Source organism: Homo sapiens, chromosome 4 (genome assembly GCF_000001405.40).
Source record: "Homo sapiens chromosome 4, GRCh38.p14 Primary Assembly".
NCBI classification, from domain to species: Eukaryota; Metazoa; Chordata; class Mammalia; order Primates; family Hominidae; genus Homo; species Homo sapiens.
The window spans coordinates 164,918,577-164,936,070 of NC_000004.12; the positions used below are offsets into that span (position 1 = coordinate 164,918,577).

At 41.6% G+C, this 17,494-nt stretch overlaps 2 pseudogenes, besides 1 other annotated feature; both read right to left on the reverse strand.

Annotated features, from left to right (window-relative positions):
- On the reverse strand, window positions 2,001-2,529 carry RPL26P16 (ribosomal protein L26 pseudogene 16; annotated as a pseudogene).
- On the reverse strand, window positions 9,230-12,122 carry FAM218BP (family with sequence similarity 218 member B, pseudogene; annotated as a pseudogene).
- Window positions 17,107-17,236: an enhancer, noted in NCBI's record as "active region_22108". NCBI's record gives its function as "activates an Ori minimal core promoter by ATAC-STARR-seq in GM12878 lymphoblastoid cells {active_cell/tissue: GM12878}" and the evidence as "EXISTENCE:reporter gene assay evidence [ECO:0000049][PMID:35858748]".

Here is a 17,494-nt window from a genome sequence, read left to right on the forward strand (position 1 = left end):
ACTCCAGCCTGGGCAACAGAGTGAGACTCCGTCTGAAAAAAAAAAACCACACATAGTGGCACATGCCTGTAATCCCAGCTACTCAGGAGGCTGAGGCAGGAGAATCTCTTGAACCCGGGAGGCGGAGGTTGCAGTGAGCTGAGATTGGGCCATTGCACTCTAGCCTGGATGACGAGCGAAACTCCATCTCAAAAACAAAAAGAAAGGAAAGAAAATGAGATGGCACTCTTACATCCTCCTCTACCACAGACACGTATACACACCACCAGTAGATAATCTGTTCTGTTCCCACAGAGTACCCTCTAGTGCTGTTCAGCTACTGTCCTTCACTTCACTTTGGGAACTGATCTCTAGGCTCAGAATCCTTATTAACTTAGTTCCATGTTTTCCTCTTTAGGTTTATTCTGTTAATTCAGAGATTAATATCGTTCAGTAGATCACAGATATGTAACATTTGGAAAAACTTGTGTCAACAAAAAAGACTGGTGAGCTTTTGATGGGATTATGTTGTATCTTTTTAGATTAATGTGGAGAAAACTGACATCTTAACATGTCAGCCAGTAGACATAACTGAGACAGTGAATCTAGTCTGTTCCATCAATTTTTATGTCATTAACTTGTCGGAAATTTGTAGTTTTCAATGTACATGTGTTTAACATCTTTTGTCAGATTTGTCCTTAAGCATTTGATATTTTTATGTTGATTATTTCAATTCTAATTCTTCATTACTAGAATATGGAAAATTGATTTTCGTGTATTAATCTTATTTCCTATAAGCTTGCTAAACTTACTTCTAGGAGCTTTTATGTAGATTCCATTGGATTTTCTGCAGAGATAGTCATGTCATGGGCAAGTAGAGACATCGGTATTTCTTCCTGTGTAAGCTAGATCATTTTTCTATCTTCTTTTTTTTTTGAGATGGAGTCTCACTCTGTTGCCCAGGCTGGAGTACAATGGCGCAATCTTGGCTCACTGCAAACTCTGCCTCCTGGGTTGAAGCGATTCTCGTGCTTCAGCCTCCCGTGTAGCCAGGATTATAGTCTCCCACCACCACACCTGGCTAATTTTTGTGTTTTTAGTAGAGACGGAGTTTCACCATGTTGGCCAATCTGGTCTCGAACTCCCGACCTCGGGTGTTCTGCCCACCTCGGCCTCCCAAAGTGCTGGGATTACAGATGTGAGTCACTGCACCCAGCCCAAAAGCACAATTTTTAAAAATCTAGGTTTAAAGTTTCAATTATTTGTTTATAAAATTAATTTACAAATATTCCTTTATGACTACCCCTGCCAGCTTTTCAGAGGCAGCCACTTTGAACTTTTCAGCTCTTTTATAGTCACGAAATCACATTCTAATAATACTTTTGGATTTTTTAGTTTGAAGTATTATCATATCCCACTTTGGAAGATAAGAATTTGGAACAGCCTTCACCCAGTGGCCCTTCTAATAGAATTTATCATTTTTGTTTTAGGATATTTTCTCACATTTATTTTGATTATTTCAATACCATTGAAATAGAATAGAATTTACCATTTTTGTTTTAGAATATTTTCTCACATTTATTTGACTATTTCAGTAACATTCATTTCTGAGCCGTGTATTGTATAGTAATTGCCATTTTGTTTTCTGTTTTTTTGTGGTTTTTTTTAACGCTCTGTCGCCCAGGCTGGAATGCAGTGGCTCCACCCCGGCTCACTACCAGCTCCGCCTCCCAGGTTCACGCCATTCTCCTGCCTCAGCCTCCCGAATAGCTGGGATTACAGGCGGCCGCCACCACGCCCGGCTAATTTTTTGTATTTTTAGTAGAGACAGGGTTTCACCGTGTTAGCCAGGATGGTCTCGATCTCCTGACCTCATGATCCGCCTGCCTTGGCCTCCCAAAGTGCTGGGATTACAGGCGTGAGCCACCGTGCCCGGCTGCCATTTTGTTTTTTCTATAAACGTTTCCTGTAGTAAATAATCTCATTTTCAATATGCTTTGTTTTCCATGTTCTTATTCTTTTTTTTTTCAAGTTTTAACCAAAGCTTGTATATAAGATTACTTTATTCCTGCATCTTCTCAATTGTTTCTTCCTTGTATTTGCCCTTTTCTTTTCCTACTTGGCGAGATTTGGCTTCCTTTTCAAGGATCTTTTTGCAGTCTTTGTCCAGTTTTAGCCTAGTGATAACTACCTTATTGGGGTGAATGCCTACATGGACAGTTGTGCCATTAGCCTTTTCCCACTGCACCTGTTCAATGTAGATGACATATTTCTTTCCTGTAAACCTGAACTACTTTGCCAAGTTGCTGACCTTTATAGTGTCCTCGTACAACCTGAACTTCATCATCCTTTTGGATGGGCATGGATCAAACGTCGTACTTCGTACTTCTGTCTCAGCTCTTTGGAAAGAGAGGAAGACAAAATCTTCCTGCGAATGTGGGAAGGTGCACTGAAATGACTTTTGTGGTTCTTGCTTCTGTCAGAAGTCACAAAGGGATTGAACTTCATTTTGGCTGCTCCCACTTCAGTGATGGCTGCAAAAGGAAAGAGCTCCATGTTCTTACTCTTAATTCATTTCCAAACTGTCCCCTGCACTTGTCTGATTGCCTGAATTCATTTTAAGGCATCTGGCTTTATGCCATTTTCATCTTGCAGAATACTCTCAAGGAGCCCTCTAATCTGCAACACAGGCACATTTGTTCACTAAGCCAGCTGCTCAGGTATCTTGGAGATATTCTTAGCATCTCTTGAATTGTTTTACCTGTTTTTATGTTTTTCCATTTGGAAGTTGGTTTCTTGTTTAATTGGAGCACATCCTTCAGTAGCTTTCTAGTAAGGTTCATGGGAAATAAAGTTTTTGATACCTTTTGATACCTTTGTATCTGAAAATGTCTTTTTTTTTTTTTTTTTTTTTTGAGACAGAGTCTTGCTCTGTCGCCCAGGCTCGAGTGCAGTGGCGTGATCTTGGCTCACTGCAAGCTCTGGCTCCCAGGTTCACGCCATTCTCCTGCCTCAGCCTCCCGAGTAGCTGGGACTACAGGTGCCCACCACCACACCTGGCTAATTTTTTTGTATTTTCAGTAGAGTCAGGGTTTCATCATGTTAGCCAGGATGGTCTCGATCTCCTGACCTTGTGATCCACCCGCCTCAGCTTCCCAAAGTGCTGGGATTACAGGCATGAGCCACCACACCTGACCTCTGAAAATGTCTTTAGTCTATCCTGATATTTAATCAGAAGTTTTTCAGGGTCTGAAATTATAGTTTTGAAACAATTTACTCTTACGTATTTTAATCTTTTAAATTGAGAAATATATAGTTATGATATCTACAATGTATTATGAAATACATTAACATAAACAAATGTTCTATAAGCATGACATTTAGTCAGCTACACAAATTTGGTCAGGAACTCGTACCCAAGGTCAGCTGGCATTATAATGGATAAATTTAAGCTCCAAGTACTATTGTAATGCTTCAGTTATTTTTATTTTTTTGAGATGGAGTCTAGCTCTGTCGCCCAGGCTGGAGTGCAGTGGCGTGATCTCTGCTAACTGCAGCCTCTGCCTCCTGGGTTCAAGCAATTCTCGCACCTCAGCCTCCCAAGTAGCTGGAATTACAGACGCATGCCACCACACATGGTCAACTTTTGTATTTTTTAGTAGAGACAGGGTTTCACCATGTTGGTCAGGCTGGTCTTGAACTCCTGACCTCAAGTGATCCACCTGCCTCAGCCTCCAAATTGCTGGAATTATAGCCGTGAGCCACCACACCTGGCCAGTTATCTTAATCTTACACCAATCCAGAGAAAATTACACATCTCGTTAAATTACAATAATGAATTATAGTAGACATCAAAAATAGGATGACATTGGGGTGAAATGTGCTATTAGAGATACATGGATTGACTGAAATATTTGAGGATCTGTAAATACAGTGGCTTCCTTGGACAAGAAAACAATCATAGTTTAAAGACAGAATCGTTCTTGTAAGTGATAAGAGTTTCATAAACGAAAAATATAATTGTGTATTTCCAGCATCCCTACTCTGCACTCCGCTTGCCAGTTTCTGGCTACTTAATATTCCACTACCAACCTTATGCCCCAAGAAATCATCACTATAATATTCTTTTCCCCATTTCCCCTACATAATCAGCCTTCTTCCTAATTGTTCTATCCCTTACTCATTGCCGAAACTAAGGCACTGAGATACTGAAAAGAGCATGCATTTGAAATCCCATACTAGGTTGGACAGTTTGTGGCAGTTATCAATATATTGCCTCTAACTTTATCTTTTCAAAGAATCAGCTTTGGTTTTGTTGATTTTCTGTCTTGTTTCCAATTTCAATTTTATTGATTTCTGCTCTAATTTTTATTTTTGTCCTTCTGCATGCTTTACATTGAAAAGCTTTACATTTGCTTTTGTTCTGTCTAGTTTCTTAAGGTAAAGGGTTAAGTTGCTGATTTTAGATCTTCTTTTCTAATATGTTATAAATTTAATGCTATAAATTTCCCTGTAAATACTGCTTTAGCTATGTTACACCAACATTGAAATATTGTATTTGTATTTGTATTTGTATTTTGCTCCAAATATTTAATTTTCCTGAGACTTACTCTTTGACCTAAGGGGTATTTAGAAGGGTACTAATTTTCACATGTTTGTGGATTTCTCAGAGATTTTTCTACAATATCAACTTTAATTTTGTATTATTTCTATTCTTTAAATGTGTGAAGGTATGTTTCATAGCCTATGATGTGGTTTATCTTGGTGAGTGACTCAGAAACTTGAAAAGAAGGCTGATTTTGACTTCTCTGTTTTTTGTTTTTATTGGAGACAAGATCTTAACTAATGTTGCCCAGGTTGGATTCAAAACTCCTGGCCCCAAGTGATCCGCCCACCTTGGACTTCAAAAGTGCTAGGATTAAGACAGGGTCTGGCTATATTGTCCAGGCTAGCATTCAATAGCTATTCACAGGCACAATCATAGCCCACTGCATCCCCAAACTCCTGGGCTCAGGAGATCCTCCTGCCTCAGCCTCCAGGACAGCTGGGACCACAGGTGCACATCACCATGCCTTGCTTCTCTGGGTTTCATCAAGCATGTTTTATGATTACATTTTAATCTCTTCTATTAACTTTTTATTTTATTTATTTATTTTTTGAGACAGAGTCTCACTGTGTCACCAGGCTGGAGTGCAGTAGCACAATATCGACTCATTGCAACTTCCGCCTCCCGAGTTCAAGCGATTCTCCTGCCTCAGCCTCCTGAGTAGCTGGGACTACAGGCACATGCCACCATGCCCGGCTAATTTTTTTTTTTTTTTTTTTTTTTTTGAGTTGGAGTCTCGCTCTGTCACCAGGCTGGAGTGCAGTGGTGCAATCTCGGCTCGCTGCAACCTCCACCTCCCAGGTTCAAACGATTCTCCTGCCTCAGCCTCCCAAGTAGCTGGGACTACAGGCGCATGCCACCATGCCCAGCTAATTTTTGTATTTTTAGTAGAGACGAGGTTTCACCATGTTGGCCAGGATGGTCTTGATCTCTTGACCTCATGATCTGTCTGCCTCGGCTGCCCAAAGTGCTGGGATTACAGGCATGAGTCACCACATCCAGCCTAATTTTTGTACTTTTAATAGAAACTGGGTTTCACCATGTTGGCCAGGATGATCTCGCTCTTGACCTCGTCATCCACCCACCTCAGCCTCCCAAAGTGCTGGGATTATAGGCATGAGCCACCGTGCCTGGCCTTATTGTATACATCTTTTAAAAACATTTTTTAGTGGTTCTCCCAGGGGTTTACAGTATACATTTTAAAAAAATTTGAGGCCTCCTTTAAATGAAATTATACTGTTTCCTTTTCAGTATAAGAACCTTGTAATAGTGTATTCCCAATTCTCACTGATTCTTTGTGGTCTTGTATTCATACAATACTTTTACATATGCTGGAAAAACACTTATTATTGTTTTAAACAGCTAGTTATCTTTTAGAGCAATTACCTTTATTTTATGCACTTTATTTCTTTGTGTAAACACAAGTTTCTGACATCTATAATATTCCTTTGGCCTGAAGTACTTTAACATTCCTCTTAGTGTCTGCTTGATGGCAACAAATTCCCTCCATTTTATTTTTCTAAGTATTTCTCCATTGCTTTTGAGAAATGTGCTAATCGGTTATAGAATTGTGAGTTGGCAAGATTTTTTTTATTTACAGAAGTAACTATTGTGTCCTGGATTTCACATTTTCTGATGAGAGGTCTGTTGTAATTCTTATCCTCCTTCCTTTGTCAGTGGTCATGCACTGCATAACAGTGTTTCAACCACTGACCACATACATGACAGTGGTCCTATAAGATTATAAACCTGCATTTTTATGGAAATTTTCTGTGGTTACGTATACCTAGATACAAAAATAGTTGCCTTTGTGTTACAATTTCTATAGTATTCAGCACAGTAACTTGCTGTACAGGTTTACTAGCCTAGGAGCATTCGGCTGTACCATATAGCTTACAGGCATAATAAGCTACAAAATTACTATCTAGGTTTGTGTACACATACTCTATGATGTTCACAGAATGATGAAATCATCCCATGATGTACTTCTCAGAACATATTCCCATAGTTAATGTATGCAAGGCAGTAATGTAGTTTTTTACTTGGGCTGCCTTCAAAATTGTGTTTTTGATTTTAATTTTCAGCAGTTTGAATTTGATTGATATATTGATATGTTTGGAGATATGTTGTCATTTTTTTCTTGTTTTGGTTTGTGTGTTTTGATAGTCATCATGCTTGGTATGCTCTGGGCTTCTTGGTTCTGGAGTTTTAGTGTCTGTAACTAAATTCTTGGCCATGATTTTTTTGAATATCTCCTCGGTTTTTCTTTTTAAATTTTTATTTATTTTTGCCTTCATTTCCTAGTGATGAGATTTCTTCTTTCTGAGATTCCAAGTATCCATAAATGACACTGTTTGATACTGTCCCACAGTTCTTAGTTTTTGTTTTTTGTTCTTTTCACTTTATATTTCAGTTTGGGTAGTTTGTTTATCTATCTTCAAGTTCACTGATTATTTCCCTCAGTGTGTTGAGGGTACTAATGAGCCCATTGAAGGCATCTTCAACTCTTTTCTGTGGTTTTCATTGCTAGCATTTCCATTTGATTTTTTTTTTTTTTTTTTTTGAGACAGAGTCTCACTTGCTCACCGAGGCTGGAATGCAGTGGCACGATCTCAGCTCACTGCAACCTCCACCTCTCGGGTTCAAGTAATTCTCCTCCCTCAGCCTCCAGAGTAGCTGGGATTACAGGCACCCGCCACCACACCGGGCAAATTTTTTTTTGTATTTTTAGTACAGACAGGGTTTCACCATGTTGGTCAGCCTAGTTTGGAACTCCTGACCTCAAGTGATCTGCCTGCCTCAGCCTCCCAAAGTGCTAGGATTACAGGCGTGAGCCACCGTGCCCAGCTTTTCCATTTGATTTTATAGTTTCCAACTCTGATAAAATTATCTATCTGATCCCGCATGTTGTCTTTATTTTCCACTAAAGCCTTTAACATATCAATTACAATTATTTTCATTTTTTTGCATGAGAGTTCCTACATGTGTGTCATAGCTTAGTATGGTTCCGATGTTCATTTTGTCTCTTCAGAGTGTGGTTTATTTTCCTTTTACATTTTTTTTTGTATGCCTTGTTTTTTTTTGTTTTTGGTAAAAACCAGACATATATAGAAAAATACATACTAAGGTAAACATTTTTATACTTGTAGATTATATTAGTTTTGGAGGGAATACCCTAATAAGGTATCACAAACTGGATGGTTTACATAACAGGAAATTTATTGTCTCACAGTTCTGGAGGCCGAGTCCAAAATATGGGTGTTGGCAGGATTGGTTCTTTCTGAGGGCTGTGACACAAAATTTCTTCCATGCCTCCAGGCTCTGGTGGGTTGCTGCCAATTTGTCATTCCTTGGCTAGTAGATGCATCACTCCAGTGGCATTCTCCCCATGTTTCCTCACATAACCTTCCTCTGTGCATATCTTTGTGTCAAAAAATTTCGTCTTTTTATAAGGACAGCAGTCATATTGGATTAAGGCCCACCCTAATGGCCTCATTTGAACTGATTACCTTTTTGTTTTTTTTTTGAGATGGAGTTTCACTGTTGTTGCCCAGGCTGGAGTACAATGGCACAATCTCGGCTCACTGCAACCTCCGCCTCCCAAGTTCAAACGATTCTCCTGCCTCAGCCTCCCGAGTAGCTGGGATTGCAGGCGCCCACCACCATGCCCAGCTAATCTGTGTATTTTTACTAGAGGTGGGGTTTCACCATGTTGGCCAGGTTGGTCTCAATTTCCTGACCTCTGGTGATCCACCTGCCTCAGCCTCCCAAAGTGCTGGAATTACAGGCGTGAGCCACCGCCCCCAGCCTTAACAGATTACCTTGGTAAAGACCTAATTTCCAAATGAGGTCACATCTGAAGTACTGGGGTTAGCACTTCAATAGATGTTTTTGGCAGAACACAATTCAACCAATAGCAGAGATGAACTTGTTTCCCTTCTGCTAGGCCCGTAGTGAGGGTGTGTTTGTATTAATCGAGCCAGGAGTTAGGCAGAGTTTGAAGTTTGTTATTGCTATGGTTAGCCTTAGTGCATTAAAGGCTTCACACTCCCCTAGTGCTGTCTTTCATTTCTCAAACTGGATTCTACTGTTATTTTTACTCAACTCCTCTTAGTGTGGTTTTGGGAGTTGGGGAAGCCCATGTTTTCCAATATTCTGATTGAGCATGAGTCATGGGCAGGCACTCTGAACTCTGGTCTCAGGTATGTGTGGCCTTCACAAATGTTCTTCACCCTCCTCCAGATGTAATGCTGGGCCTAGCACACATTCCCACATCTCACAGCACAAGGAAAATGACTGGCACATCTTCCAAGTCCCCTTTTTCAGGGAACTACCTGGTGATACGCTCACCAAAAGAAGGGAAGAAAACTAAGAAGGAAAACAAGGGACTCAGACAACAATAGACTTAAAACCTCTGGACATAAGACAGAAGATAAAAGATAATTCTTAGGGTAAGGGAAACATGAAAGGCCTCAGAGGACAGCTGTGCATCATATCACCAAATTTCAGTTCATGCTAAGATGACAGAGGGCTTCAGGAGATCGAGCACTACAAAGAAAATGAATATAATCAACAAATTACATGTCGAGTTTAGAGAGGAACTTTAGAGATTAGCAGATATGGGGCTGAAAGAGAAACAGAAAGTGCAGCAAGTAAGATATCAGGCAATTTTAATCACAATAAAACAAAATTTGTGTATCAAATTATAGCACCTAAGTGGCTCAGCTGTGAACAATTATATAGTCGTATGAACATATTAATCCAATTACATTACCATATTTGGATATTTGTGGGGAAAGAGAGTATGTGCCTGGGTGGTGCGAGAGACCTAAATTCTCAGTTTACCTAATAGAATTTTAATTTGAAATGTCTAATATTAGACATATTACAGTAATGGAGAAATAGCAAGGTCACTAGAATAAATCATGCCTCTGTTTAACAGGAATTTCACATAGGATGGCATGACCCAGGAGATTTTCGTTTTTATAAAAGACTTTTGTTGCTGGACTGAACTAATAACTTTCTATATAATTTTTTTCTTTTGACATAATTTTTATAAAATTCATAATGTGGAATTTTAATTCATAATGTGGAACGCATTGAATTAATGACTATACAAGTAATACCATCTTTCATCTTAGAATATCAAAAATACTTTACAATTTACTCCCATTACATCTCTGAAGAGTATGCATTTCTAATACTATTTTATTGACAGCTGCTAAAATAATGGAAGAAAAAAACCTTTCCTCTGCTTATAAGAGGTAAACACAGAATTCAGAATTGTGGAGCTCCTCTCCTAAATAAAAATACAAAATCATTTTCAAATAATTCATCCTTCATAATCTATCACTGTACAGATTATAAGAGGTTAGAAATCATACCCAGTGTGAAACACAGCCTAAGTAGTTTCATAAAAATATCACTTGAAGAAAAAATATGAGATCTGGCATTCAAGTTATAAGATTAAACGTCACCCACTTCATTGTCCAGAAAAATCCTAATATTACTGGGTTTTACTTTTAATAGCAGAACGATTGCCACTCTACCTACTGTAATGACTTCAGCAAAGTTATTACATTTCTGTAGCTGAATACTAAAGCATGAATCCTATTGTGATGGTGTCTTTTTCCATCTCCTCAGAATACAATTCTAACAAACAACACTGTTCTATCTATCCCGTTTGATTTTGTCTTCTTTCCCTTCCTCCTAGTAATACCAGTCTTAATCTTTTTGGATCATGAGTTTTTGTGGTATCTTTCCAAATCTCACTGTATTCTGTCTTCAGATATACAAGATTATGACATGCTGTTTCAGGATCTAGAGCGAAATCTATGTAAAATGAAGAATCTTTTGTCGACTATAATGTTGTGGCAGAAGTCTAGAATCATCATTCCGTAGTTAAAATGCAAAAGCTCATGAAGGTTTTATCTTAAAACATGTTATTGATACATACACTTATATCAGTTACTGGTTGTCTATTTGAGTGAAGAGTTTGCTATCCCACTTATTAGAGCTTTTAATAAGAAAATATGGTCTGAAAGTTTTGTTTTCATCTAATGTGTGTATCATATCCTATCCTTTGTATTTTCGGGTTTCAGAACTGCATCTTATTCATTTTCCAAATAGAGTATAAAGTGCTCAAAATCAGAGTTTAATCTCTTCCTCTAATATTCAACTATCTTCGGTAGCATTCAACTATCTTCGGTAGCATTCATGTATTTTTAGTTAACATAACTATTAGTTTAGTTTTGGCTTATTTAAAACATTTTATACTTGCTTTTTCAGAGGTCAGACATCCCCTGTGAGCTTCTTCCTTGAAGCAGCCTGCTCTATAGGACAGGTGAGCCCAGCGGGAGCCAGCCCACTGCAGAGCCAAACCCTCTAGTCCTTGTCACAAAAAGGGGCTGGGACCTGATGGTGATTATCTTCCTGCCTTTTCCTGGTGGTCCTTCTGAGTTGGAGTTGCTTGGTAATTTCAGTGGTGTGACAACCGGAGTGTTGCTACTAAAATTCCTCCCTGGGCTGCATGAGCGGCTGACAGGGCACGGGGAGAAAACGATTAGCTTCTCCCAGGATTGGTGAAGCCACCGCTGTTGGACAAGTATAGTCGTCGCTGGATCTCTGCAAAGAGACTGTCGAAGCGGCTGCGGTTCAGCGTAAGGTCTGTTAGGGAGACCTGAAGCCCTGTGCCAGGAACGCAGTGCTCGCTTAGCCCACCCTGCAGGGATGGCTTTCCAGGCGCTGGGTCCAGTGAGAAAAGCGTGTCCGGAATTGGTTCCTTCCGGTGGGTTCTTGGTCTCGCTGACTTCAAGAATGAAGTCACGGACCTTCTTCGCGGTGAGTGTTATAGTTCTTAAAGATGGTGTGTCCGGAGTGTGTTCCTTGCAATGTTCAGATGTGTCCGGAGTTTCTTCCTTCTGGTGGGTTCATGGTCTCGCTGACTTCAGGAGTGAAGCTGCAGACTTTCGCAGTGAGTGTTACAGCTCTTAAAGGTGGCACGTTCAGAGTTGTTTGTTCCTCCCGGTGGGTTCGTGGTCTTGCTGACTTCAAGAATGAAGCTGCAGATCCTTGTGGTGAGTGTTACAGCTCATAAAGGTAGTGCGGACCCAGAGTGAGCACAGCAAGATTTACTGTGAAGAGCAAAAGAACAAAGCTCCCACAGTGTGGAAGGGGACCCGAGTGGTTGCCGCTACTGGCTAGGGTGGCCAGCTTTTATTCCCTTATTTGGCCCTGCCCACATCCTACTGACTGGTCCATTTTACAGAGCGCTGATTGGTCCGTTTACAAACCTTTAGCTAGACACAGAGTGCTGATTGGTGTGTTTTTACAGAGTGCTGATTGGTGTGTTTACAATCCTTCAGCTAGACAGAAAAGTTCTCCAAGTCCCGACTGGACCCAGGAAGTTCAGTTGGCTTCACCTCTCAAGAGGACAGCTGCCCTGCCACACGGCACATCCTTCCATCCACTGTGGTACCTGGCGCTGCCCCTGGTCTCCAACATCATCGACCTCCATGGTCTCACCCAGAAGTTGAAGTCCAGAGGCGGTGCCGGCCATGCACAATCACTGCTCAGCTGCCCCGACTTCTGTACAGACTTGCTGGAGGTGTCGCCCAGCCACCTGCAGGAAGCCCTGCAGGACACCTAGGCCTCCTGAGAACTTTGTATTCTGTGAGAAGTTTGCATTCTCAAGGAACCTCAGCTGTTTGGTTTGCTCTTCTGCCACCCACCTCTACCTGTGCCAGATTGAGGGCACTCCCTGCCCCACCCTAACAGAACAGGATTCCAGTTGCTGTTTTAATTTACTGAATGTTATTTGTAACTGGTGGGAGAAAAATGTGGTTATAATTCACACTGTAGAGCTTATTAAAAGTCACAGTAACACTATAATTGAAATATTGTATTTTAGGAAATAAATAATGAAATTATAAGATGAAATATAATGTACAGATGAAATATACAGATGAAATTGTACGATGTCTGGGAATTTGCTCCATTGGCAGGAGAAGCTGGTGGGGTTACAAAGATTGTTAATTCAAATGATAGAAATTGGTTTCTTTTTATGCGTAGGTTCTTCATACTGTTCTCTCTACTCTTATGGATGTATGAAATACTCTACAATTTAAAAGCTTCCTTTTAACTTAGATCAACCAATTGAAGACAAAGAACTAAATAAACAATGAAAAGAAAAGAAAACCAAAAAAACAAAACAGGGTTGGAGCTCCTATGAGAATCTAATACCATTGCTGATCTTACAGGAGGTGGAGCTCTGGTGGTAATGCTCACTCTCTAGGCTCACCTCCTGCTGTGTAGCCCAGCTCTTAACAGGCCACCATCAGGTCCCAGTCTGCGGCCAGGGTTTGGGGACCCCTGTACTAAGAAATCTTGCCAGGCTCTTTCTGCAAGAGCCTGTTGTAATATTGTCTGCCCCCTAAGAGGCTTATTTCTAGAGTCCTCAACTGTGTTTTCTGGATTCTCACACTCTCAGGCAGCTCTCCAACTGGGCAGTCTCATGCAGCAGACAGCCTCCCAGGAAAAAACTCACTGGCTCCTCCCTGCTCCTTCTGGAGGTGGTAGCTCTGTAGTTGTGGTAGAGAGAATGGGGCTATGAGCAGCGTCAAAGCTCCTATTGTAGCCAGCTCACCCGGGAGGAATGTATCAGAACTTTGCTTTGGGGGAACATGGGCATGTAGTTTAAATAAGTCCCTGTGGTGAATCTGATATGTTGTCAGTCTCTGTGTGGGATATAAGAAATACATTTGGTCTTTGTTCCTTTTCCTTTTGTGGAGCTCCTCAAGTCCCTTGAAATGTCCCCAGTTGTATTTTTGGTTTATTTTATTTATTTTTTAATTTTTGTACAGCATTTCAAGTTTATTTGTATTCACAGAACATACCAGGCGATCTTGACAGCTGCCAGGTGACAGCCCTCCAACCCCTAACCCTGCAGCTGCTCCCATAAAGGGCAAATTCCAGAAGATCCAGAAGATCATTCCTGAGGTCCGCAGATGCCTCATACAGTGGACAGAGCTGAGATGCTGGAGGATGGAACATCATCCCTAGACCTACAACCCACTGTTAACGGTGGAGGGTGTCCAGGTTCTTGCCTTCTTGAATGAAGAATTGGACAAAGTGCACAAACAAAGCAAGGAAGGAAGGAAGGAAGGGTTTTCTTGAAAATGAAAGTACCCTCTGCAGTGTGGGAGCAGGCCTGAGCATAGGGGCTCAAAGGCCCCGTTAACAGAATTGTTGGGAGTTTAAATAGCCCCTAGAGGATTCCATTGGTTACTTGGGGGTACACCCTATGTAAATGGAGGGAATGAAGTAAAATGACAAAGTCATTTACAGCCTATGCCTTGTGGAGAGGATATTTCCTGTTATAGCTGAAGTGTGAATTGGCCTTATGTTCTCTGCCTCCAGACTCTATTTTCCTGCCTCACCACCACCAGACTTGATTCCAGCCAGGAAGGCCTCCCTAACTGGAGTCCTCCCCTTTTCTTCTCCTACTCTGCTGTAGTTCCAAGTGTCCCCCCTCCACCAGTCCCACAAAACTCAAATACTGAGAGGTCTCCATTTATAGCAGGGGGGACATCTCACACCCTTGTATAAGTTAAAACAAATATTACGCACACTCCTCCATCACCTAGGTGGACATATGGGAATACAAGTAAATATTAATTAGGAGCAATGAGAAATAAATTAATGACGCTCTCCGGGTTTTTCCCACCGGGCGTAGCCCTGCGGTGTCTGTGCCTCAGTCTTCTGTTATTCGGTCTCCCCACAAGCACCAGCTGGCCTTTCTGCTGTAATGTTCTGAGTCTGAGTTCCCTGGGAAGTCCCAGTTTGAAATACGCTCTCCAGCACCAGATACGCCCGGTGTTTTCTTTGGTTTTTCTGATTCTTTTTGGGGGATTGCGGGAGTCAGGGTTAGAAGTCGGCCTGGTGGTGCTGGAAAAAAGTTCTGAGGTCCAGCGCAGAGTCCCAGGGCTCCCAAGTCAGATTAAGGGCTTGAGGACGGGGGCGCAGAGATGGGGGTGTCCTGCAGAGGCAGGGGCGCCGGCACACCCTCTTCAGCCATCGGAATCTGGCAGAAGATGAAGTGAGCAGGGAAAGAGAAGCCTCTTTAGCAGGGTTCAGTTCCTTGACTGGCAGCTGGCACTCGCCCCTGGAGGGTGGAGGACTCTGCGGCTCCACATTCGGTGCCCATGAGAGGCGCTGGGGTGAGGCTGGGCCCTCTGTGGGCTCCGGGAGAGGTCGAAAGTGAAGATCTCAGAACCTGAGCTCTGCCAGGTTACCGGGTTCGTGCAGGATGGTCATGGTGGGGTGGGAACTGCGGAAGTGACACATCATGTGCTGGGTGGAACATAAGGGCAAGGGCTGGGTTGTGTTTGTTTGTTCATTTGAGATGGAGAGATGGAGTTTCGCTCTTGTACCCCAGGCTGGAGTGGAATAGCAAGATCTCCACTCGCTGTAACCTCTGCCTCCCGGGTTCAAGCCATTCTTCTGCCTCTGCTTCCGGAGTAGCTGAGATTACAGGCGCCCGGCACCACGCCCAGCTAATTTTTGTATTTTTAGTAGAGACGCGGTTTCACCGTGTTGGCCAGGCTGGTCTCGAACTCCCGACCTCAGGTGATCTGCCCACCTTGGCCTCCCAAAGTGCTGGGATTACAAGCATGAGCTACCGAGCCTGGCGGGCTGGGTTTTTTAATTTCATATATTTTTTTGGACTCAGGATGTTGCTCTGTCACCGTGTAGTGCAGTGGGCAGTCATGGTTCACTGTAACCTGGAACGCCTGAGCTCAAGGGATCCTCCAGCCTCAACCTTCCAAATAGCCAGGATTGCAGGCACACGTCACCATGCCCAGCTAATTTTTTCAAATTACCATGATTGGTGGGTAGAGATGCATAACATTCCTTTGAGGCAAAGGGAAAGCATGGCCAGGAAGCTGTCGAAATAAGCCTGAAAAAACCTAGTCAAATCTGTAGCAGCCAGTTATTTACCATTTCCTGATTGGATGGAGTAAGTCATGTCAATAACATTGGGAGAGATCATCCCATTAAAGCTGTCATCAGTTCCCTCTGAGATGTCATACTTCTTTCAAAGTATAAGAACACACAAAATTGGGGTTGAACCCAGAAACGGTGAGATAATCACGCCTAGGTCTTGCATCATGGGTTTCAAATCTTGAGTATCTATTTTAACTAATATTTAATCATATTATCTTTTCTCACTGGGGTCAGGAACATCCATGGATCCCATTTTGTAAAGCTAATTTGAAAATGCAGAAGACGTAATTTAATTTTGTATTTATTACTTATTGTATTTCTCTTTTCTCTTTAATATTTCATCCCAGTGTGTGTTCTCACCCTGGAAAATTTAGGGAAGCCAGTGATTCTCATAGTTAAGGTAAAGAATACCTCTTTGCCTCCATTTTATGTTCAGTAACATCACTAAGGTAATAGAGGATTCTTCATTTAAAATCAGAGGGATCCCTGGTAAACTAATTAGAGGGAAATAATAAAGTCTATAAAGGTTTTCCAATGATGCATTTCAACAGATGCTTAGGTTCAATCATCATCTAGGTTACAGAGACAGAAAAGTCAACCAGTACCTTTTAATCTTTTGTGTTGTTTAGATTCTTTTGGTAAATTTTGCATTTTCAACTTGAAATTGCAAATTAGGAAGCTTCCTCCAGTTTTTTTGTTTTGTTTTGTTTTGGTGCTTTTTTTTTTGTCCTCTCCTTGAATCTAGAATTTGGTGTTATTTTTCTTTCTCTTTCTTCCCCATCTCCCTGACTTTTCATGTCTATTGTTTTTTATTCTTTTTTTTTTTTGGTAAACGTGCAATATACTTTAGGGGCTGTTCCTTTTCATGTTATTATGTTTTGAAGTTTCTGACTCCAGAAAACCTTCTATTAGTACCATCACAGTTCTATGGGCACTGGAGGGTTACAGAGTTTAGGAACCCTGGTTGTAAGTTTGGTTGAAATTGACCACTTCGGTGAGCCACAGGGGTCACTGGTTTCTCCCCATAATTCTTTTTCTTTTTCTTTTTCTTTTCTTTCTTTCTCTTTTTTTTTTTTTTTTTTTTTTGAAACAAAGTCACATTATGTTGCCCAGGCTGTTGTCAAGCTCCTGAGCTCAAGCGATCATTACAGGTGTGAGATACTGTTCCCAGCTATCTCCCTATAATTCTGAAGATCAGAATCTTTGTTGTAACAAAGGCCTAGACAGCAGCAGAAAGCAAAGATATTTCTAGGGTCCTAATTAGCCATCTGCTCTTATGAGTGTGAGCCTCAATAGCTATTGTTTAAATGTTTGTCTCCACAAACCTCTTGTATTATAAACAATCACCCATGTGATTCCACTGAGAGGTGGAACCTAATGAGAGGGGTTTAGGTCTCAAGGGCTCCCCCTCATGGATTCATGCCATGCTAAAAAAGAGCTTTCCAGGGTATATACACCCACTCTGCTCTCTTTTTCTTTTCTTTGAGATGGAGTCTTGCTCTGTCACCCAGGCTGGAGTGCAATGACACAATCTTGGCTCTGCCATCTCTGCCTCTGGAGTTCAAATGATCCTCCCACTTCAGCCTCCCGAGTAGGTGAGACTACAGCTGCATGCCATCATGCCCAGCTAAGTTTTGTACTTTTAGTCGAGATAGGGTTTTGCTGTAGCAGGACGAGCCACAGACAAAACCTCTCAGACACCGAGTTGTAGAAGGAAGGGCTTTATTCAGCTGGGAGCATCAGCAAGCTACTGCCTTAAAATCCGAGCTCCCCAAATGCCCAATTTCTATCCCTTTTAAGGGCTCACCACACTAAAGATTTCACATGAAAGGGTCGTGATTGATTTGAGCAAGCAAGGCAGTACGTGACAGGGGCTGCATGCACCGGTGGTCAGAGAGAACCAGA